We start from the raw sequence: 25,241 nt of genomic DNA, 5'->3' as shown, positions 1-25,241 counted from the left end.
CATTGTTTTGTAGAGGTTCTTTATAAGTTCTGAATACAAGATCTTTCCTGGAGCCGTAACCTCACAGCAGTAACAAAAATCAGTTCCATTACATGAGTTCTTTATTGGTTACATATATTGAAAATAGCTTCTCTCACTGGATGGATTGCCCTTTTGGCTTATGTAATGGTGACTTTTAGTGAACAGGAATTCTTAATTTTAATGAAGTTCAGTCTGTCAGTATTTTCCATTATGGTTAATACTTTTTTATTTTGTGTCTTGTTCAATGTTTTTCTATCCCAAGGTCGTGAAGATATTCTCCCGTATTCTAGAATTTTACTGTTTTGCCTTTCACAGTTAGCTCAAATTCTGTCTGGAATAAATTTTTGTTATTGATGTGAGATCAAGATTTTATTTCTTGTATTTGATTGTCTCAGCATCCTTTATTGACTATTTCCCAATGTTTTCTTTCCCTAGTATTTGTCAGTGACACCTTATTCATAAATCAAGTGTCCATATATGTGTGAGCCTGTTTCTGGGCACTGTATTGGATTTCTTTGGCTTATTTGTCTATCCTAATACCAGGGTCACCGTTTTAATGACTATAGTTTTTAAAGTTTTGATATTTGGTAGAACAAATCCTGACACTTTGTTATTCTTCTCAGTAATGTCTTGGTTATTCTCAGTTCTTTGCCTTCCATATGTATCTTTTCAATTAGCTTTACACACACACACACACACACACACACACACACACACTCGGGATTTTTTATTAGCGTCACTCAGAATCTGAAGATCAATTTGGCAAGAATTAAAAATCTTTCAGAATTTTCAGTATTCAGTCTGACAGTCTGAGACAGTATATTTTTCAACTTATTTAGGTCTTCTTTATCTCATAATTTTATATTCTGCATAAAGATCTTGAACATCTTTCGATAGATTTATTTCTGGGGCTTTGGTATTTTTTAATACTACTGTAAGTGACATTTTTTCAAAATGTTCGCTTTTTGTCATTATTAGGTTGAAGCATATTGCTGATGCCCGGCCTTTATTGATCTATAAAAGTGGCAATTTCATACGACTCAACATAAAATGTAGAAATGTGGTTGCTTTTAATATATTTGCTGTGTATCCTGAAAACTTGCTAAATTACTTATTGATTCTAATAACTTAGCTGTAGATGCTTTTGAACAACCTCCATAAACTATCATCTGAGCTTGATGACATTTCTTCAGTTTGGCACTCAAAATCAACTGTCACACATTCTACCTTTTCTTTTTCTTACCTTAACTTTACTAGCTACAGCCAGTATGATGTTAATACAGTGCTATTTAGTAGTCCTCTTTGACACTTTCCTCATCTCAGAAATACAACATTCAATATTTCACGGTTAGATACGATTTTTTCTTCACTGCCCCCTTTGCCACCCCCACCCAAGATAGCCTTTATCACATGTCAGTTTGAGTTCTCAACAAGATCCTGAGACAGAATTAGGAGTGCAAGAGATTGAGGGCTACTGCCTGTGAAAAATAAGCTAAAGAAAGCAGGATTGGGCAAGGAGAGTCTCAGACTGTGATGCAGAATCTCGGCCAACCCAGTGGGGAGCTCTGGAGCAAAGATTGCCCATTGGAAGCATCCTGCACTGGGTAGAGTTGGCCAGGCCCTAGTATACCTGCTGTGCTCATTCATTGTCTGGGAGGAGCCCAAGAAGAACGTGGCCTTACCTCAAATGCCACAGTTGATCCCAGAGTACATAGGTGGAGGCTGGTAGCCAACAGTGTTTTTCACAACTGAATGCCAAGTTCTTCCTTGTAGGGAGATCTGAGCTGTTCATAGAAAAAATATTGGAAATCAAAGCCAGGCTGGGCGCAGTAGTTCATGCCTGTAATCCCAGTACTTTGGGAGGCTGAGGCAGGTGGATCACTTGAGGTCAGGAGTTCGAGACAAGCCTGACCGATATGGTGAAACCCTGTCTCTACTAAAAATACCAAAGTAGCCAGGCATGGTGGCACATGCCTGTAATCCCAGCTACTCAGGAGGCTAAGGCAGGAGTATCGCTTGAACCCGGGAGACGGAGGTTGCAGTGAGCTGAGATCGTGCCATTGCACTCCGGCCTGGGCAACAAAGGTGAAACTCCATCTCAAAAAAAGAAAAGTCAAAGCCAAAGAGATACATTCTAAAAGCAACTAGAGAAAAAGAGAGACCTTCAAAGAAGGTAGAATTAGCCTGACAGCTGACTTATAGACTGAAACAATGAGAGGCAAAAATAATATATAATAAAATTTACTGAAAAAATTTGCCAAACTAGAATTCTATACCCAATGAAAATATCCTTTACAAATGAAAGTGAAATCGACATTTTAAAATAGATAAGAATGGAGAGAATTTGTCACCAGAAAATTTGTGCCAAAGGAAATAATACAGTCTTTAGGCTGAAGGTAAATGATTTTAGAAGCTCAGAAACGCAAAGGAATAAAGAACATTAAAAATGTTTAAGTGTGTGGATAACTAAATGAATGTATACTTTGTAGAACAATAATAATAATGTTTTGACTAATGCATTGTGGCAGAACATTTTGGTACCACTAAGGCTAAATCTTATGAAGCTTGACAACTTCTACCTGGGTCTGTCAGTTTTGGAACGTTTCTTTTGGGAAGTGAATCACCGTGATGTGAGAAACTTAAGCCACATGGAAAGGCCACATGTAGTCTTCTGGTCAGCAGTCCCAGCTGAGCTCCCAGCTGACAGCCAGCATCACTTTCCCATCACGTGAATGAGCCATCTTAGACAACCAACACATTTGAACTTTCAGACAAATGCTGCCTGAAATCACATGTAACTGCAATACAAAAGAGACTTTAAGTGAGAATAAATTGTTTTAAGCCGCTAAACCTTAGACTGCTTTATTATGCAGCAGTAGATAACCAGAATGCTTGATATATCATATCAGACTTGGTTGGTCTGTGTTCAGTTTTCTTCCACTGCTTCAGAAATGCCTTTTTGCATTTGGTTTGTCCAAAACAGGATCGAGACAAGGTCTACACATTGCATTTGGTTGCTATGTCTCCTAAGTCTCCTTTATGCTATTTCCCCCACCCGCCTTTTTGTTGTTGTTTTTGTTGTTGTTGTTGTTAATGAAATTGGCTCATTTGTCTGTGGGATTTCCTACATTCTCAGTTTGGTTATTTTCATCCTCTTGGTGTCATTTAACATTCACTTATGGTGTGAATTTTCTGTAAACTGTTAGCTAAATCTAGAGTCTTGATTAGGTTTAAATTCATTTGTTTTTCTTGGCAAGAAGATTTTATAGCTAGTTGTGCAGTAATCTGGTCTTTGTCTCTGGTCCTGAAGATGCTCTAAATCTTGGAATTTTCTTAATAATAAGAGTGTCTTTGTTATTCATGAGTCCCTTGGATCACATCTGAGTTTATACCTAATGAGAATACTCAAGATGGGGGTTGGTCATCAGAAAAACCAACCATGTTGGCCGGGCGCAGTGGATCACACCTGTAATCCCAACACTTTGGGAGGCTGAGGCCGGTGGATCGCCTGTGGTCAGGAGTTCGAGACCAGCGTGACCAACATGGTGAAAACCCGTCTCTACTAAAAATACAAAAATTAGCCAGGCATGGTGGCATGCGCCTGTAGTCCCAGCTACTCGGGAGGCTGACACAGAATTGCTTGAACCCGGGAGGCGGAGGTTGTAGTGAGCCGAGATCGTGCCACTGCACTCCAGCCTCAGTGACAGAGCAAGATTCTGTCTCAAGAAAAAAAAAAAAAAGAGAGAAAAAAACCAATCATGTGATTAGAGGGTTGGGCTTTGAGCCAACCCACCCTCCTCTAGGGAAGCCGAAATGTGAGTTGGGTCACATGGTGGTCAGTGATTGAATCAGCCATACCTTACCTACCTGATGAAACTGGATACTGAAGCTTGCTAGAACCTGCTGGGAGGTAATTGAATCATGGCGGCGGTTACTCCCATGCTGTTCTTGTGATTGTGAGTTCTCATGAGATCTGGTGGTTTTATAAGGGGCTTTTCCCCCTTTGCTCAGCACTTCTTGCTGCTGCCATGTGAAGAAGAATATGTTTGCTTCCCCTTCCGCCATGATTGTTAGTTTTCTGAGGCGTCCCAAGCCCTGCAGAACTGTGAGTCAGTTAAACCTCTTTTCTTTATGAATTAATTACCCAGTCTTGGGTATGTCTTTATTAGCAGTGTGAGAACAGACTAATGCAGATGGTTAGCATCAGAATTGTACTGCAGTTCACTAGTGGGACTGTACATTGTCTGTATTTTTCTTGAGGACATGCTATGCCAGATTGCCTTAGATTTTTAGGTCACAGATTTTCTTATGTAGGGACTTAATGATTCTGGAAATAAGATATTGTGGCATTATTTCTGTTGATCTAAGCCAGATGTTGGCAAACTTTTTCGGTAAAGGACCAGATATTAACTACTTCAGGGTTTGTGTCCCGAATGGTCTCTATCACAACTATTCAACTTTGGTCATCGTAGTGTGAAAGCTGCCGTAACAGTATGTGAGAAATGGGCATAAAACTTTATTTGCAAAAGCTGGCAGAAGACTGGATTTGGCTCATGGGCTAATAGATTACCAACTTCTTTTCTAAATTGTCTTGGAAATGGGCTTTAATGTTCTCCCAGGAGAAAAGGAAATGGAGAAGGAGCTGTGATTTTGACTTGTAAGGAGGCCTAGAAGTACTCATCTTTTGTTTTAAATTAAAGGACTTCTATTATAAAAGAAATATAAGCTTGTAGAAAATTTGAAAAATGTGAAAAAATAATAAATATAAGTCATATTTATTGGGTGTTGACAAGTCAGGTACTCTTCTAAATTCTTAAATACATGAGATGGTATTCATTTTATGATCATTTTACAGGTGAGCATATTAAAGTGCAGGGAGTTTAACCTAACCAAATAAATGATTATTAAGTGATAAAGCTAGAATTGAAAACCAAGCATTTGACTCTGAGGCCTAAGTTTTTAACCGCTCTGCAATAACAGGGGTCATTACCCTTGTATCCCACTGCCTAAATGTACTACAAGGTAGTGCTTTTTGTTTTTTCAGTTATTTTTCTCTCTGCAAACAAAGCTAGATTTTCTCACTCTACATTATCAGTTTTACAATATTACAACTAATTTTGTACTCAAAACAGCCACTTCATGTCATGTCAAGTTGATTACCTGTGGCTGAAGAGAGAAGTGGGTGGGACACTAGAAAGCCGTCATCAGAGGCCAACAGCTCTGCAGCTCCTTGTAGTTGGCAGAATGCTGCTTTTACAGACTTTCCCCAAGGGTATTTGGCTAGTGAGGGCAGAGCTGGTGTTTGCACACAGGTTTTTATTTTCTACTTTAAATTTTGAGTCTTCTCAGAAATACCTGCTCCCCACTTCATCCTCATTTTGATTCTCCCTTTACTACTATTTCCTGCCCTCTATTGTAGTACAATAAGTGGTACAAAAGAAGAATAAATAGCGGGTTCAGAAACAGCCTTAAGGCTGGGTGCCGTGGCCCACGCCTATAATCCCAGTACTTTGGGAGGCTGAGGCGGGTGGATCATTTGAGGTCAGGAGTTTGAGACCAGCCTGACCAACATGGTGAAACTCCATCTCTACTAAAAATTAAAAAAAATTAGCTGGGCGTGCTGGCACATGCCTGTAGTCCCAGCTACTTGGGAGGCTGAGGCAGGAGAATTGCTTGATCTCGTGAGGCAGAGGTTGCAGTGAGTTGAGATCACTCCACTGCATTCCAGCCTGGGCAACAGGCAAAATTTTATTTTATTAAAATAAAATAAGAAACAGCCTTAAAAACTAGGAATAAAGAATACCACAGAATACTAAAATGGTATGCAAAGTCTGAATATAGAAAGATCTCACACCTTAAACAAAAACTAACTCAAAATGGATCATGGACTTAATGTAAAACTATAATAAAACCTTTAGGGAGAATAAAACTAAGAGGAAAGCTTCAGCTTACAGGGCTAGGCAAAGAGTTCTTGACACCAAAGAATTAATACCAGATGTGCAATGTATAAAGGAAAGATCGATGAATTTAAAACTTGCTCTGGGCCAGACGCAGTACCTCATGCCTGTAATTCTAGCACTTTGGGAGGCCAAGGGAAGAGGAGCCATTGAGCCCAGGAGTTTAATTAAGACCAGCTTAGGCAACATAGTGAGACCTTGTCTCTAGTAAAATAAAAAGTAAGTAAATAAAATAAATAAAAAATTGTCCAGGTGTGGTGGTGTGCACCTGTAGTCCCAGCTACTCAGGAGTCAGAAGCAGAGAATCTTTTGAGCCTGGGACATCAAGCCTGCAGTGAGCCATGATCACACTGCTGCACTCCAGCCTGGGCAACAGAGCCAGACTGGTCTCACAAAAACAAACAAACAAAACCTTTCTCTGCAAAAGACCATGTGAAGATGTAAAGATAAATATAGACTAGGAGAAAATATTTGCAAGTCACACACCTGACAATGGACCTAGTTTCTGGAATATAGAAAGAACTCTCGAAACTCAATAGTATAAAAATAAAGGAAACAGGGAAAAGAGATGAGCACACATTTCCCTGAAGGGGAAATACAGATGGTAAAAACGACATGAAAACCTGTTCAACATTGTTAGCCACCAGGCAATGCAAATTAAAACCCAAAACACAAAACAGTGACAACACCAAATACTGGCAAGGATGTGGAGAAACTGGATCACGCATGCATTACTAGAGGGTATGTGAGTGATACAGCTACTCTGGAAAAAACAGTTTGGCAGTTTCGTATAAATCTAAACATGTGGTTACTATAATTGACCTACTAATTGCTCTCTTGGGGATTCTCCCAAAGAAATGAAAATTTATATTTGCATTAAAACATGTATATAAATGTTCATAGCAGCTCTGTTTATAATAGCCCCAAACTGGAAACAACCCAGATGTATTTCAGTAGATGTACTGTTAAACAGTGATACGTTCATACCATGGAATACAACTCAGCAATAAAAAGGAATAAAGTGTTGGCACACACAACAACCTGGGTAAGTCTCCAGAGAATTAGGCTGAGTGAAAAAAGCCAACTCCAAAAGGTTACATGTGCATGATTTCATTTATATGACCTTTTTAAAATGAAAAAATTTTAGTCATGAATAATAGAGGAATGGTTGCCAGGGCTTGGGGGGAAGGGCAGGAGGAAGATGAGTGTGATTATAAAAGCGACACACTGGATTCTCAGGGTGCTGACACTGTTCTGTGTCTTGACTGGTGTTCATGAACCTACACAGCAGAGAAAATTGTGTAGAACTAAATACATGAACAAACACAAATGAGGACATACAAAACTGAGACCTTCTGAACAAGGCAGGTGGATCGTACCAGTGTCGCTGTGCTGCTTGTGATGTTATGCCATAGTGTTTGCAGAATGATACAGTGGGGAAACTGAGTTAAAATATAGCTCTTTTTACTATTTCTTGCAACTGCATGTGAATCTACAGTTATCTCAGTGAAAATTCATGTTAAAAATACATACACACAGAGAAGCACAGGAAGCAAAACAATTAGAAAGTCAGGAAAGACCCCTTTTGTGAGTTAAAAATTCTTAAAACTCCCTCACAGATGTCATCCATTTTCACTATGAGATGATTTGCAGAGAACTTTGTGGGGGAGATTGGGTTGATAAGAAGTAGGATTACATGTTGAGATCTTCATAATCAAAAGCAGACCTCATCCTCTACCTTCCCCCAACCCAGTCCTGGAGGAAGTATGTAATTTTGTCTCTAAAGGTGACAGAGAAGCATAGTCTCATCGCCTGCAAGGAAACTGGCTCCCAGGTATATCCCTGGGGAAAGCTGCCCAGTATGTAAGTAATACTCAAATGGCGCCTGGTGTGGCTTCCTGGTACCACGGGTTTGTGTGCATGTGCTGCCTGTACCATCAAGAAGCTTAAATTCTAGGGTGTGCAGACCTTGTCTTATTTCTAAGCATCCATGCCGTGTGCACAACTGCCACGTACCTCATTCTGAAGTGAATTTCATTTTATTTTTCTAACAAGATTAAATCTTCTGTTTAACAATAATGCAGTATAAAAGTATGGCCATCTTAAAATTTGTTAGCAATAATATAGCCAACTTCAGCTCATGTAAGCTAAAAGTTGGTTTTAGGCATATGCAGTTCTGTCAAGGATAGGTTATTGTATGAATGCAGTACTAGACCAGATCGAAGGATTTGAATTCTAACTCTTACCATTTGCTAATTTAGAACATTTAGAGGCTTAGTTTCTTTATCTGTAAAATGAATTCTGTATTTATCTCCAGTGTGTTAAGAACTGCAAGGACCACTGGAAATACAAACACAGTTAAGACAGTAACGCACTTTGAATTAAAAGGCAAGGAGATGTTATTACAAATGAACATCTAAATTATTGATATCTCTATAAAATTGAGGTTGTAGTACGATGTTCAGTCTTGGCCTGTGTACGTTTTGGACCAGATAATTGGTTGTAGGGTAGAAGAAAGAGCGTCCTGTGCATTACCGGGTGTTTAGCAGCAGGCCGGACTCTACACACTTAATGTTAGTGGCCCCCTGATTTGCGACAAACAAAAATGCCTCTTAGTTTTTTAACTCTTTTAGAATTTGTCCAGCATGTTTTTTGGTGTTAATAAAAACCCGCACACAGAGAAATGCTTCTGGACGTTGCCAAATTCCCCCAGGGAAACAAAATTGCCCTCGGTTGAGAACCACTGAGTTACAGGGATAAAATTATCAGATGTGTTCGTTTTATAAAAGAATTTAATAATATTTTAAAGCATATCACATATATTTTTGCCGAGGCTGGTCTATTTGATTGGAAGAAGAGTCCATTTTCCTCCCGCATATCCCCTTTTGGAGTTGGGAGTGCATTCTGAGAGAAGCTGTGCTCAGATTATTTGGAATCTGCACCCTAGTGAGGAGCGAGGTTGAAGCTGAAGTCCTTAAGTATGACAGAAGCATGGGTGGGAAGGTACCGAAAGACCAAAGAATTTGGGGATGGGGAGGTAGGAAAGGTGTCTCCAAACTCACATGCATATACATATTTTCCTTAACACCTGAGGTGAAAGAACACCCCTGTTATATCTTGTCTGTTCTAAAGAGATGTGGTGAAGAGAATTTGCAGTGAGTTAAGAATCACTAAAGTTTCTGTGATTCAGTGAAATTGCCTTTGAAACATTGTAGGAGTGTCTTATATTTGATAGAAGATTAAAAAAATGCATGGCATGGGCATTTTCTAGGGCTCTGAGTACTCTTAATAGACCCTTATCTCTGGATGTGAATTCATGAGGTTCAAAGGTCCCTGCCAGTCAAATGGCAAACTATGGAATTTCCCTGTCCTCTAGAGATTGCTTTACTGTCTACTGAGGTTGATCATCTTTTTCATATGGTTATTGGCCATTTATTTTTCTTTAGTGAATTGTCTTCTTGCCCTTTGCTTACATTTCAGTCACAACATTGGTTTTCCCATTTCCTTTTTTCCTTTTCACTGTCGAATTATAACAGTTTTTATGTATCTTTACATTGTAAAGTTATTAATGTTGTAATCCTTATTTGCCTGTTTTTATCCTTATTCAGTGTTTATTTTTGCCCATTCTCTGACCTTTGACATTTCTGCATTTTGTATTAAATTGTTATAGTTAGGTTCCAGTTGTTTGATGCAATCCTTTTGTCTTTATATAAACAGTTGAGTTTATCTTATTTAGTCTCACTGTAGATGTGTTTAATCTTTTCCATCTGCTTTTTATGCATTCATATTGGCTTTTGTTTTGTTTTTAATCTCTTGATAATGGGGCTCAATTTTCAGATATACTTTTAAGATATGTTTATGCCTTTATTTCTCAAATTGCTTCAGAAACAAAATAGTGTCTATTGTGATCTTCCTTATTCTCATAACACTTAAGGATGTGTTGGCATGTTCTGAGATTTTTATTCTTGTTTATTACAGTTAAATGATTATTTTTCTGTTTTGTGGCATATACTTCAAAAACAATATTTATTTTCTGATTTTCTAACTTTATTTCCACAGATCCTTTGCATTGAGTATCTGCTTATCTTTCACAAGACAGCTTCCTCATTTGTGAGTCTTCGTATGAGTAATTTCAGTGGTCAGATTCTGTCTTCATGATAATTTTTTTCTCCTCAAGAAAGTGCACATGAGTGATACACGTCCTGAGTTCCTTTTCTGTAGACTTCATGTGAGACCATAGCTTCTCATGCTCTAGAATTCTGTCATAACCATTATTGATGTATAAATGACATACAATAAACTGCATGTGTTTAAATTATGTAATTTAAAAAGTTGGCATAATTATGTACCTGTGAAATTATTACTACAATCAAGATAATGGACATACGTGTCACCCTTAAAAGTCTACTTGTGCCCCTTGGTAATCCCTTTACGCTCCTTATCTTTAGGCAACCACCAGTCTGCTTTCTGTCACTGTCAGGAAGTTTACATTTTAAAACACTTTATATAAATGGAGTCATACAGAATGTACTTTTTTGAGGGTCTGGGTTGTTCCACTCAGCATAATTATTTTGAGATTAATCTGTGTTGTTTTGTATATCAATAGCTTATTCTTTTTATTGCTGAGTCGTATTCCATTGTACGGATATAACACAACTCATGTGTCTGTTCACCTGGATACGTGGAAGTTTGGGCTGGTGGAAATTTGGGCTGTTCCAATACTGAGCTGTAACAAAGCTGCTACGAACATTTATGTACAAGCCATTCATTGTACGGACAAATGCTTTTGTTTCTCTTGGGCATATATCTAGGAGTGGAGTGATTTGGTCATATGGTAGGTGTATGTTTAACTTTGTAAGAAATTGGCTTCAAACTATACTACAAGGCTATAGTAACCAAAACAACATGGTACTGGTACCAAAACAGGTATGTAGACCAATGGAACAGAACAAAGGCCTCAGAAATAATGACATTTATGCAGCCAACAAACATAAGAAAAAAAAACTCATCATCACTGGTCATTAGAGAAATGCAAATCAAAACCACAATGAGATACCATCTCACACCGGTTAGAATGGCAATCATTAAAAAGTCAGGAAACGACAGATGCTGGGGAGGATGTGGAGAAATAGGAACGCTTTTACATTGTTGTGGCATGTGTCAGAATTTTCTTCCTCTTTAAGACTGGATCGTATTCCCTTGTATGTATAAATCACATTTTGTTTATCTGTTCACCTGTCAATGGGCATTTGGGTTGCTTCTACCCCTTAATGGTTGTGAATAATACTGCTGTGAATGTGGGTTCATGCAGTATCTTTTTGAGCCCCTGTTTTCAGTTCTTTAGGGTATATACACAGAAGTGGGATTGCGGGTCGTATGGTAATTCTATGTTTAATTTTTTTGGGAACCACAATACTGTTTTCCATAGTGGCTACACCATTTTAATATTCACACTAACAGTGCACAAAGGTTCCAGTTTCACCACATCCTTGCCAAAGATCCTTATTTTCTTTTTAAAATTTTAAATAGTAGTCATCCAAACAGGTATGAAGTGGTATCATTGTGGTTTTGATTTGCATTTCCCTAATGGTTAGTGATGTTGAGCATCTTTTAAAGTGCCTACTGGCCATTTGTGTATTTTCTTTGGAGAAATGTTTGAGTCCTTTGCCCACCTTTTAGTTTGGTTGTTCTTCTGTTATTGAGTTGCAGGAGTTCTTGATATATTCTAGATATTAATCTCATCAGATATTTGATTTATAAATATTTTCTCCCACTGCATGGGGAATAGATGTAATTTTCATAATAAAAAGTTAAAGAAATTTTTCTTTACAGAAAATAGAAGAGCTCAACCAATACCAACTCATTTACCACCCAGACTCAACGGTTATTACCATTTTGCTGTGTTTGCTTTATCCATACACCTCCCCACACACACAAATTATTTTGCCAAGACATCTCAAAGAAAATTAAGGACACCCTTACACTTTACCTAGTACGCATCTTGAAAAAATTAGGACAGTTTTCTACATCTGCCACATTTTCTGCATAAACAGTCTCCAAAATACTATTTCAAAATAATATATATTATTGGGAAAAAATAATGCTGTTTTTTCTCATTTTGATGTAGCAGATAACCTTTTGGGATAAGTTCACTGATGGTATTCCTTATAGCATTGGCATTTTCTCGTACATCAATAAGAACTTCCATTTCTTCATCACCTGAACTACAGCTGTTGCCTCCAACTTCCTACTTTTTCTCATCTTCCTTATCTTTAAAACCTAAAGTAGACCAAACTTCTTCCCATGACTTCCTTACAAGGCAGAGCATTATCTGGCCTCTGCTTAGCCCTCCAGTCTCATTTTCTCCTTCTCTCCCAGCTCCAGCAGAGAGACCTGCCATCTGTTTCTTGAACATACCAACCTCTGCTCTCTATGAGGGCCTTCACATGTGCTGTTTTCTCTACCACCATCCATCCCACTGCCACACTGCTTTTTTTAATCCTTCAGGTTTTTATGTAAATATTGTCTCTTCAGACAGGCCTTCCTTCATGATGTGTTTAAGTATGGCAACTATTTATTCCTGTTCACAGCACCTTTTCAATATTTTGATAATCCTATTTCAGTATATAAATATGTATTTTTAAATGACTATCTCCCTCACACACACCACCCACTGTACCTTGAGTTCCATGACAGTGGGAATCATTACCACCAGCACCTGGCAAGCAGTTAGTGAGCAGGGAACAGTCCGAGGCACAGCAGCCTCACAAAGTGATTGTCAAAGGGGCTGTTCTCAGGATGTGTCGGTTTGGCACACTTTTAAAAATCCATCGCATTACTTTCTGTTACTTCATGTGTGTTTACAATTTGATCTAGTCATTGTATGTGATTTGGAGACCAGGTTTAACCTTAAAATCCAAATGGGTATAAAATGAATGTTGAAACTAAAATAGAATATTTTGGATATTCCATATGTCTGTAATATAAATATTTGGCTTCAGTTTTTTAATCATTATTTTATTCCTTTTACAGACCGAGACAACACTTGGACTCAGTTCATATCAGCAGAAAAGGTAAGTATATTTAATAAGATAATTAACATACTTTCGGTTCCTTCTGGGGGATTCCTGTGGTTCTCCCTCCTCTTTCCCCTTGCTCATTTTGGTGAAGAAGGAATAGCAAATTGTAAATCACATTATATGATTATTTCTAAGTGTTGTGTGTGGGAAACCAGGTTTAAGTTTGAATGTGCACATCATGCAATTGTGTAGCATGCCTCCCCTGTCGTGTACGAAGGGCTGTTACTCAGCTGAAACTCCCCTTGCTTTGTGAGATGATCAGCTGTGTAACTCCTTAGAGGCTTCTCTTGTGGCTATCCCTGCTTTTGATGTACTGACCACTGCTGCCCCCAGTTACCAGGGGTCTGCCCGCAGGCCCCCAGAGAAGGATCTCAGACCTGCGAAACCCAGTCTTGTGACTTGGAGAGACCGCTTTTAAATACAGCTTCCCTGTGATAACAGGGGGATGGTTTTACCTCAGGTGTTAAGGAAAATAGGTACATGCATGTGAATTTGGAGACACTTTTCCTGCCTCCTCACAACCAAATTATTTGGTCTTTTGATACCTTCTCACATCTGTAAAGAGACATACTGTGCTGATTCTCTTTCTATATGCGGTGAAAGTCTGTTCTGGTGCCTAAAGGTGAGAGAGAGCTTTCTTTGAGTTGGATAAAACAGTCCCTCCAGCAGCTATTTTGTGTTCACTCCCAGCCCTTAATGATTGCTCCCCGGAGGACCATAGATGTAAAGGAAGTTAGCTTAGAAGATTCAGCGTAATGGTATAGTTGCTCTTCCTGTTTGCCAGAAACAACTAGTCAGGCACCAGTACCTGTTCTAGTGAGCGCCCTTTAGTAACAATTGAACGGCTGGCAGTGGTGTCAATAGGGCTTTCAGGTAAGGAGCCCACATCATGGATTTAAGAACCCAGTTATTTTACAGTGTGTGTTTTTAGAAGTATGTTTTATTCTGTCAGTATATTTATTCCTTAAATGACAGCAAGGCAAATTTATCCTTAAAAATTATTACTATCCACTGAAATCAGACACTTAGCTACCAAAGTGGCTATGGCAACAGAAGGTGTCCCCACCCTTGCTGTCATCACTGCAGTTTCCATTCTGATGTAGCAGGAACAGGGAAGCATTTGTTCCTCCTAGGCCTTCATGTTTAAAGTACATCTATGAATGTCTCCAGACTAGCGAAATGCAGACTGCATCAACAAAGAATTTTGCTTTGAGAGAGAAATATAAAATATTCAGACTATTAGGAGGACAATTAAAACTTCTTACCTCATAAATAATGAAAATTCTTTAGTATTCACTATTTTTTCTCTTTTTACTCTTTCATCTCTGCAGTAACATGGCCCTTTTCCCCCATTGTTCTGTCATTCTCTCTAATATTATATGCCCTGTTGGGACCTGCCCTGTCTGTGAATCTTGCCCAAATATTTAACACTGGCATGGGTTGTCTCCAAACCACTGCATGTTTAGCCTGATTCCTCCTTGGCTGGACCATCTAAGAACCCTAGAACTCTCTAACCACATCTAGAGCCAAAATAATGGTGAGAAAAACATATATGTTATCTTGTGATTCTTCCTTGATTCTTTATTCCAGCAATTAGGAAATTAGCTGTGGAATTAGACTGCACTACATTTACGAAGATGAGGATGTTCATTCGTGATCAAAATTTGGGCTTTAAGTATTTTCCTAGTATAATGAAGAATTGACATCAGTACATAATTATATTCTCATCTCATGCTCTACTTATCTATTATCTACTTCTATCTAAAAGTTAGTGGCATAAAATAACCATTTTATGATGCTCTCAAACTCTGTCAGAAATTCAGGCAGGGGACAGCAAAGACAGCTTGTCTCTTCTCCATGATCTGGGGACTCAGCTGGGGAGATTTCAGAGTTGGAAATGACTTGATGGCTGGGAGCTGGAGGCATGTTCATTACATGTTGATGCTAGTTTCTAGCTGGGACCTCAGCTGAGCTCTCAACTAGAATGCCTATATGTAGGCCTCTTTGTGTGGCCTTCACATGGGCTAGTTTGGGCTTCCTCCTAGTATGATGGCTGGACTCCAAGAGTGAATGTCCCAGAGGAAACTAGTGAAAGCTGTATCACCTTAATCTGCCCTTGGAAGTCATAATATTACTTCTGCTGCCATATGCTATTAGTCAGCAAGTCACTTAGATTGGCCTAGATTCAAGATAAGGGTGGGGAGAAAGAGCTCCGTACCTACTGATGACAGGAATATTAGGTTTGTAGACAGAATTTACAACTGTCACATTTTACATTTTGTGTGTGTGTGACCAGGATCATGAGTTGGGTAAATATTTAATTCAAATTAGTATGCAGATTGGGTATGGGACTGGGTTAAGCCCTAAAACATGTCTTAGTGAGTCCAGGATGCTATAACAAAATACCATAGACTGAGTGGCTTAAACAACAGACATTTATTTCTCACAGTTCTAGAGGCTCAGAAGTCTAGGATCAAGGGCTTGCAGACTTGGGCCTGGCAGACTGTTTTGATGCTGATGAAAGACTGATAACCATATGGACCACTAACATATACCTTAGGTGTCTTGATACCCCTTACAACTAAACCCTGAGAGGCTTACAGCATCCGTTTATAAGACCCTCTTCAAAAGCACAGCTTTCTTTTAGAGTAGATTGCATTTTGTCATTTCATCAACACATATGCTTTATAACCTCATCAGAAGTGGTGTCTCCAATATCCTCCAGAGGTATTTGGGTGTGTTTAACGGCCAGAGGATATTGGCAGATCTCATTTTCTACAGGCTTTGTGCTACAGAGGCTTATCTTGAGGAGGGCCGGTGGCATCCAGGTGATGCCTGTTCCTCTACAGAGAATTTAATACATCAATTTTATGTGTTCAGCAATTTAAAGGAAGACATGAACATAATGAGGGAAAATGGACAGTATGAAAAAGAAACAAATGAAGCCTCTAGAGTTGAAAAATGTTGTTTCTGAAATGAGTATTTCACTGGATAGGATTAAGAACAACCTAGACATTGCAAAAGAAAAGCTTAGTGAGTTTGAAGACAGTGACAGCAGTAATTTAAACTGAAGCACAGGGAGAAAAATGACTAAAAAACAAATAAACCCTTGGTGACCTCTGGTACAGTAGTAGCAAGCAGTCTAACACATGTCTAAGTGAGTTCCTAGGAATTGGGAGAGGGAGGAGCTGTCAAAGAACTTTAATAAACCTGAAGCAAGAGTAACACAGAAAGTCACACCAAGCCAGATAATATTCAAGTTGTCGAAAATCAGTCATAAATAGAGAAACAGCCAGGGAAGAAAACTAAATATAGTAGTTCAAAAGATAGGAATGACTGCTGGTTGTTCATCAAGGACAAATGCCACCCCAAAACCAATGAAATGACATTTTTAAAGTACCAAAAGAAAAAATCGCTAATCTAAAACACTGCTTCCAGCAGGAATATCCTTCAAAAAAAATGAAGACATTTTCAGACAAAACTGAGAAAATTTGCAGTAGACTGGCACTTTTAAGAAATGTTACAGGCTAAAGGTAGTTAACCATTTGAGGTGAAAACACGGATCCTACGAAGAACAAAGACCACCAAAAAGGCAAAAATATGTGGAAAAATATAAAAAATGTTTTCTGGTTAACAAAATGTTAATTTCTAACATTTTAAAAACAAAAATGATTGTTTATAACATGTATACATTGCATATGTGATAACAGCACAAAGGACAGGAGGGTTGCATGGAAGAATTGAGTTGTAAGGTTCTTAGATGTTATGTAAAGTAGTACAATATTATTTGAAGTTAAACTGTGGTAATATGAAATAAGCCCCACACGAAACATTAAAATCAAAAAAAAAAAAAGAACTATAGCCAATAAACTAGTCACGAAGATAGAATGAAATACTAAATGAATACTCAGTTGATCTAAAAGAAGGCATAAACAGAACAAGAGGAATAAAAAGCAGATGGGAAAAATAGAAAACAAATGGCAATATGGCAGACTTAAACCCAAACATATCAGAAACCGTAGTAAATGAATAATTTCAACACCAATTGTCAGATTATATTTAAAAAGCAAGACCCAAGCATATTTTGTCTACAAGAACTTTATTTTAATTTTGTATTTAATATTTTACCTTTTGTTTTGAAATAATTTTAGAGAAAAGATGGAAAAATAGTACAAATAATTCTTATATCTTCTTGACCCAAATTCCTCATTTGTTAATGTTTTTTCATATTTGCTTTATCACTCCTAATCTCTCTTTTTTAACTCTCTCCTTTTCCTTCCCTCCCCATAGCTACCTTTTTATACATACATGTACATGTATTTATAATTTTTCTGAAGCATTTGAAAATCATTTGTAGACATGATGCTATTTTACCCCTAAATATTTCAGTGTATATTTCTTATAAACATGAACATTGTTTTAGAGATCATCATATACTCATCAAATTCAGGAAATTAAGACTGTCTCATACTGCTGTTTAATCTAGAGGCCTCATTGGAATTTTGTAAATTGTCCCATTAACGTCTTTTATTTTAAAAAATTTGGGGTCCAGGGTTCAGACCCTCATATTTAATTTTCACTTCTCTTTAGTCTCTAATGTAGAACTATTGATTTGTCTTTCTTACTCTCTTAGAACTTTGACATTTTTGAAGAGTAGATGCTGTTTATTTTATAGAATAACCCAGATGGGCCTGGGCACGGTGGCTCACAGCCTGTAATCCTAGCACTTTGAGAAGCTGAGGCGGTGGATTGCCTGAGTTTAGGAGTTCGAGACCAGCTTGGGCAACACGGTGAAACCCCATCTCTACTAAAATACAAAATGCGCCTGTAATCCCAGCTACTCAGGAGGCTGTGACAGGAGAATTGCTTGAACCCGGGAGGCGGAAGTTGCATTGAGCCGAGATTGCGCCATTGCACTCCAGCCTGGGCAAGACTCCCTCTCAAAATAAATAAATAAATAAATAAACAAACAAACCCAGCTAGAGTTTTCTGATATTTACTCATTATTTGATTCAGAATTTGCATTTTTGGTGGAATATTACTGAAGTTTGTGTCTCTCCCAATGCATCCTATCAGGAAGCACTTGGCGTCTCTTTGTTCCATTTTTCTCTTATAATTCATAAGTGTCTTGCAGAGAAGTACTTTGAGACTATGCAAGTACTGTGTTTTACATGAAACTCTGACTAGTTTTAGAATCTACTGATGATTCTTGCCTGGAACAGTTATTGCGCTGGCTGGGTTTTCTAAAAATTCTATCACACTTAATCTATGTTTCTTAGTTGACATTCTGATTGAAGTTAAGATTGAGGTCACAGTTCATTTTTATCCAGGTATTTCACCATCATTTGCGCTGTCATAAAAAAATCGCACGTGCTTAGTTAGGTCTATTCTGTGTCATTTACGTGTCCCCAGCAATCATTGAGCACTTCTTACTTTCTGGTATGTTAGGATGTTCCAGGCTTGTTTTGTAATTTCCTTGCCACAGCCCTGGAACAACCTATTTCTTGAAAGACTCCTGCTTCATTTTAGTGGAAGATAATATTGAAAAATTAATCTTTATGTGCCATGTGTACTCATTGCTACTGTAATGTATTAGGATTCTCTTAGAGGGACAGAACTGTTAGGATAAATATATAAAGGGGAATTTATTAAGTATTAATTTACACGATCACAAGGTCCCACAATAGGCCGTCTGCAAGCTGAGGAGCAAGGAGAGCCAGTCTGAGTCCCAAACTGAAGAACTTGGGAGTCCAGCGTTCAAGGGCGAGAACCATCCAGCACAGGAGAAAGATGTAGGCTTGGAGGCTAGGCCCATCTCTCTTTTCATGTTTTCCTGCCTGCTTTATATTTGCTGGAAGCTGATTAGATTGTGCCCACCAGATTAAGGGTGGATCTGCCTTCCCCAGCCCACTGACTCAGATGTTAATCTCTTTTTGGCAACACCCACACAGACACACCCAGGATTAATACTTTGTATCATATCCTTCAATCTAATCAAGTTAACACTCAGTATTAACCATCACAAGTGGTGTCATTATTAGTGAGGTGTCATTATCTCTAGACTCTTAGTAAAAGGAAGAAAATGTTTATGTTTATGTGTATAAATATGTACAGTATACACAAACATATTCCTATTCTTGTATCTGTGTATATTAAAAACCGTGAGTTACTGATGCCTCCAATTTTGATACAAAACCAGTGTTCTGTCTATTCTGTTTCTGTCCATTCTCCAACAATGAGAAATCTGGCTCCAGTTATCTGTCTACAGTAAGTGTATTGATTTGTTCAATCCTAGAATACAGATAAATTAGTTTCAAAATTGTTAACTGTTACAGCCATAAAAAAAGAGTACGGTGTTTAGAGTTCATGTTTTTTCTTTAGTCTGAGTGTATATTGTCAAAATACTGTATTCTAAATTTACATGGGTTATAATGTTCTTCATCTTTCTCTTCATCCTTCTCCCACCCCCACACCCATCTGTGTTGTACATTTTAAATGAAGTTTAGTTTATTTGTTTCTCTCTGTATCCCATTTAGGATTTTTACTCTACTTTAAAATTTTTTTTTATTATTGCATAATACATATTGATGGGGTACATGTGATAGTTTGATACATGCATAGACTGTGTAATGATCAAATCAGGGTGTTTAGGATATGCATCACCTTGAACATTTATCATTTCTTTGTGTTAGGAACATTTCCAATCTTCTCTTCTAGTGACTTTGAAATATGCAATATATGGTTGCTAACTATAGTCACTCTGCCCTGCTGTTAAAAACTAGGGCTTATTCCTTCTGTCTGTTAATAACTGTATACTTGAGCCCAGTAGCCTACCTCTCTTCATCCTCCCTCTCACACCAAAAAGCAAATGCTTCCCAGCCTCTGGTGACTGTCATTCTACTCTTTACCTTCACAAGATAAACTTTTTTAGCTCCCTTCTATAAGTCAGAACATGCAATATTTGCTTTTCAGTGCCTTGCCTGTTTCACTTAACATAAACTCCAGTTCCATCTATGTTGCTGAAAATAACAGGATTTTATTGTTTTTTATGGCTGAATAATATTCCATTGTGTTTAATATATACCTATTTTCTTTGTTCATCCATTGATGGACACTTAGGTTGATTTCATATCTTTGCTACTGTGAATAGTGCTACGGTAAACCTGGGGTTGCAGGTGTATCTTTGAAATACTGATTTCTTTCCCTTTGGATAAATAGCCAGTAGTGGAATTGCTGGGTCAACTCTTATCTCTCACCATATACAAAAATCAACTCAAAATGGATTAAAGACTTATATCTAAGACCCGAAACTATAAAACTACTTGAAGAAAACGTAGAGGAAATGTTCCAAGACATTGATGTAGGCTAAGATTTTAGGGCTAAGATCTCAAAAGCATAAGCAACAAAAATATCCCCATTTAAAAAATTTACTTTTGTGCCATTATTTTTTTACCCACTGTCCTATATATGAGCATTTCATTTGTTTCCCGTATTTTGCAATTGCAAACAGTGCTTCAAAGAATAATCTCTTGTGTATGTATTTTCATATTTTTGAAGGTTATATTCAGGGTAAATTCCTACAACTTGAATTGCTCAATCAAAAGATAAGTGTAGCTGTAATTTGTATTGTTGAATGTATATGTTTAGAAATGACTAACGGTTATATGAAGAAATGCTCTGCATGGCCAGTCATCAGGAATGCTAATCAAAACAAAGATGCATTATCATCTCACACCTGTTAGAAAGGCTGTCATCAAAAAGACAAAAGATAACAAATATTGACCAAGAATGTGTAGAAAAGGGAACCCTGGTTCACTGTTGGTGGGAATGTAAATTAGTATAGGTATTATGGAAAACAGTGTGGCAGTTGCTAAAAAAAATTAAAAATAGAACTGCTATGTGATCCAGCAAATTCATAACTAGGTATATATACAAGAGAAATGAAATAATTATGTCAAAGAGATAGCTGCATTCTCATGTTCATTGAAGCATTATTCACAATAGCCAAGACAGGGAGGAATCAACCTAAGTGTTCATCAGTGGACACGTGGATAATGAAAATGTGGGGGTGTATGTGTGTGTGTCTGTGTGGATTCTTAATAGTATTCCACACATATATAGTGGAATACTGTTAAGCCTTAAAAAATAAGGAAATCCTGTCATTTATGACAACATGGATGAACTTGGAGGACATTATGTTAAATGTGATAAGCCAAGTACAGAAAGATGAATAATGCATGATCTCACTTAAATGGAGAATATAGAAGCAGAGAGTAGAATGGTGGTTACCAGAGCTTGAGGGTGGGGACCAGGGAGATTTGAGAGATGTTAGTCAAAAGACACAAAATTTCAGTTAGAAGGTGTAAGTTCAGCTTAGCAGTTTTTGGACTTTATGATGGTGCCAAAGCACAGTATATGTTCAGTAGAAACAGTATTTCACATTTTGAATTTTGATCTTTCCTGGGCTAGCTGTACAATACTCTTGCAGCTTTCAGTCAGCCACACAATTCAGAGAGTAAACGACTGATACTCTACCTGTACCATGTTACCAGATGACTTTGCCCAACAGTAGTCTAATGTAAGTGTTCTGAGCATGTTTAAGGGGAGACTAGGCTACCTTAAAAGTAAGTTGGTGTATTAAATACATTTTTGACTTGTGATTTTCAACTTATGATGGATTTATTGGTATGTCACCTCATCATAAGTCAAGAAGCATCCGTATTGTGTACTTGAAAATTGCTGAGAGAGTAGATTTTGTGTTCTTACCATAAAAGACAACTATGTGAGGTAATGCATGCATTAGCTCAATGTAGCCATTCTACAATGTGTACATATTTTAAAATATGTTGTACATCATAAATATATACAGTTTTCACTTGTCAAATAGGGAAAGGGATAGATATAAAGTTTATGTGTAGGATAAATTCCTGGAAGTGGGGTTGGTGAGTCAAAAGTAAATGCTGACATTGTTTCATTAAGCATTGACAGATTCTCCTTCAAGGTCTGTGCCACCTTGCATTCCCTCATTGGTGAAAAAAAGTGCCTGTTTCCCACATCCTTTCCAACAGAATGTGTTACATTTTTTATTTTTGCTGATCTGATAGGTCAGAAATTTTATCACAGTGTAGTTTTAGTTTGTCTTTAATTATGTGTGAGGTTAACCATCTCCTGGTATTTAAGAGCCATGCTTATATTTGTCTCTTGATGTTGTCTCTTCATAACTGTTCTACCCATTTTTCTATAGTGCTTTTAATTTTTTCTGATTCAGTTAAGAGTTCTTTATATATTGGAGATATTAGTCCTATTTTGCAAGTGTCTTCTCCTGTTCATCAGTAGTCTTGATTTTGAAGAAATACACTTCTTCGTAAGTATGCAAGTAGGTTAAATGTAAAAAGACCTAGGAAAACAAGTAAACACTAATCTTTAAAATGCTGGGATGGTTATGTTACTCTCAGACAAAGTAGACTTTAGGACAGGGAATATTATCAGAGATAAAGAAGGACATTTTACAATTATGAAGGAGACAGTTCCCCAGGTAGATACAACAATCCCAGATTCTAATATTGGAGCTTTAAAGTACGTGAAGGAAAAAAATGAATAAAACTAAGGGAAGATTTCAACATTCATCTGTTAGTAACTGATAAAATAGATGGAAAATCAGCAAGGGTGTAGATTTGAAGAACACTATTAAGTAACTTGACCTAATAGGTATTTATTAAACACTACATCCACCAAGAGCAGATTATATAGATTATACTCTCTGATTATAGCAAAATTAAATTAGAAATCAGTAACAATGAAAATCCAGATATTTTATAATTAGAAATTAAACCAGAAGCTTTTCAATACTCATGGGTTAAGAAAGAAATCATAAGGGATATTAGAAAATGCTTTGAAAACAAAAGTACAACATATCTTAGTCTGCTTGGGCTAGACTGCCATAACAAAATACCATAAACTGGGTGGCTTAAACAATAGACATTTATTTTCTCACAGTTTGGAATCTGGAAGTCTGAAATCAGGTGTCAGCGTAGTCACTTTACACTGAGACCTGTTTTCCTAGCTTGTAGGTGGCAGCCATTCCACTGTGTAACTCACATGCCCTCTTTGTGCACATGTGTGCATGGGGGCTTTCTGGTGTCTCTTTTTGTAAGGATACTAATCCCATTATATTAGGGCCCCCACCATTATAACCTCATTTAACCTTAATTGCCTGCTTATAGACCCTGTCTCCACATAATAGTCATAGTGGGGATTAGGGCTTCAATATGTGAATTTTGGAGGTAGCGGGTGGGGTGGGGGAGAATTCAATTCATAGAACAACATACCAAGTTTTCTGGAATTTAGCCAAAGCAGTATTTAAATAGACATTTATAGCTTTAAAAGTTTATATCAGATAGAAGAAAAATTTTATAATGAACAATTTACATTTCCAGTTTAAGACATAGAGCATCAGCTTTAAATAGAAGAAAATAAAGGATATACTAGAAATCAATTAAATAGAAAGTGAAAAAAAATCAATGTAAACTAAAACTGATTCTTTGAATGTAGCTAGATTGGTTAAGAAAGGCAGACAAAAAAAATCAGTAATGAAATAGGGGATATCACTACAGATCTTATAAACATTCAAAGAATAAGAGAAATTATGAATCCCTTCATTCTCAAATTCAGCAATTTAGATGAAGTGGTCAAATACTTGAAAGATACAAATTATTAAAACTAACCAAGAGAGAATTAGAAAATTAGTTTTTAAATATCTGTTAAAGACATAGAATTTACAGTTTTAAACCTTTCCACAAAGAAAACTGCAGGCTCATATGACTAAACTGGTAAATTCGATCAGACACCTAGTGAAAAATTACTAGTCTTACATAAACGCTTTTAGAAAAGAGGAATAGAATGTCCTTCCTTACACGTTTTATGAGGTGATTATTGCAGGCATTAAAGAAAGCTAGAAGCGACATCTCTTCAAACATATATTCAGAAATCTCTAACAGAATATTAGCAAATCAAATCCAGAAACGTGATAACAGGGTAATGCATCATGGCCAACAGGGTTTTATCCTAGGAATGCAAGATTATTATTTGAAAACAATATAATTTTTCTTGTTAACAAAATTTTAAACGCCTTTGTAATTATTTGAATAGATGTAGAAAAAGCCTGTGACAACATTCAGCATCTGTTCAGCACATTAAGAATAGAGAAGAATGTCTTTAACCTGATAAAGAGTATCTATGGAAAAGTAACAGTTAACATGGTATTAATGGTAAAAGATTGAATGCTTTCTTTCTAAGATTGGGAAAGTGGCAAGGATGTCCACTTTCATCACTTACATTAAACATTGTACTGGATGTGGTAGTCATTACATTAAGACAAGAAACAGAAATAAGAGCCATCAGATTGGAAAGGAAAAACAAAAAGGATTTTGTCTACAAACCATGTGATTGTGTGCATAGAAAGTCCTAAGGAATATACCAAAAAGTAATACAGTCAGTAATCAGAAGTAACTGATTTCTTCATAACAAATACAAAAATAAAATGTTGTAGAAAAATGTGATTTACAATGGCATAAATCACTGCATACTTTGGGATAAATTTAACAAAAAAAATGTTGAGACCTGTACACTGAAAACTGTAATATAGAGTAATTAAAGAACTCCTAGATATATTGAGAAAGATTCCGCGTTCATGGATTAGAAGACTGTGAAGATGATAATTCTCCCCAGATCAGTTTTAGATTAAGCAATTCCAATAGAAATTTCAACAGACAATTTTTTTTTTTAGAAATTGATAAGCTGCTTTTCAAGATTAGATGGAAAACGTTAAGCATCTAGAATAGACCAAACAAGTTTTAAAAAGAAAAACATCAGAAGATTTAAACTACATGTTTTGAAGATCAAGTTTAAAACTTCTTGTCCAGATGTGTCAAGGTAATTCAATGGCACAAGAATACTCCTTTTCAGCAGGGGTTACAATCCTAGTCTCTGATGAAACAGACTTGAAACCAACAAAGATCAAAAGAGACAAAGAAGGGCATTACATAATGGTAAAGGGATCAATGCAACAAGAAGAGCTAACTATCCTAAATATATATGCACCCAATACAGGAGCACCCAGATTCATAAAGCAAGTTCTTAGAGACCTACAAAGAGACTTAAACTCCCACACAATAATAGTGGGAGA

At 37.1% G+C, this 25,241-nt stretch overlaps 1 protein-coding gene and 1 pseudogene across 8 annotated transcripts in view, besides 1 other annotated feature; both read left to right on the top strand.

Moving 5' to 3' along the window:
* The window catches only part of TMEM131 (transmembrane protein 131), a 239,613-nt gene that overhangs the window by 74,240 nt on the left and 140,132 nt on the right, over nucleotides 1-25,241 (top strand). For 4 of the 8 annotated variants that reach the window (XM_011510869.2, XM_005263910.2, XM_005263909.2 and 1 more), the window contains 2 exons: nucleotides 10,038-10,088; nucleotides 13,011-13,051. In XM_011510869.2, coding sequence (XP_011509171.1) covers nucleotides 10,038-10,088; nucleotides 13,011-13,051 — 92 coding nt within the window. The remainder of the gene's footprint in view (nucleotides 1-10,037; nucleotides 10,089-13,010; nucleotides 13,052-25,241) is intronic. The other 4 variants (XM_047443844.1, XM_047443843.1, NM_015348.2 and 1 more) reach the window with 1 other exon arrangement.
* Nucleotides 8,592-8,655, top strand: RNU7-96P (RNA, U7 small nuclear 96 pseudogene; annotated as a pseudogene).
* Nucleotides 13,452-13,561: an enhancer, noted in NCBI's record as "active region_16246". NCBI's record gives its function as "activates an Ori minimal core promoter by ATAC-STARR-seq in GM12878 lymphoblastoid cells {active_cell/tissue: GM12878}" and the evidence as "EXISTENCE:reporter gene assay evidence [ECO:0000049][PMID:35858748]".

Source organism: Homo sapiens, chromosome 2 (genome assembly GCF_000001405.40).
Source record: "Homo sapiens chromosome 2, GRCh38.p14 Primary Assembly".
NCBI lineage: Eukaryota > Metazoa > Chordata > Mammalia > Primates > Hominidae > Homo > Homo sapiens.
Note: the sequence above shows the minus strand (reverse complement) of the source record. Positions and strands in the feature narration are given on the sequence as shown.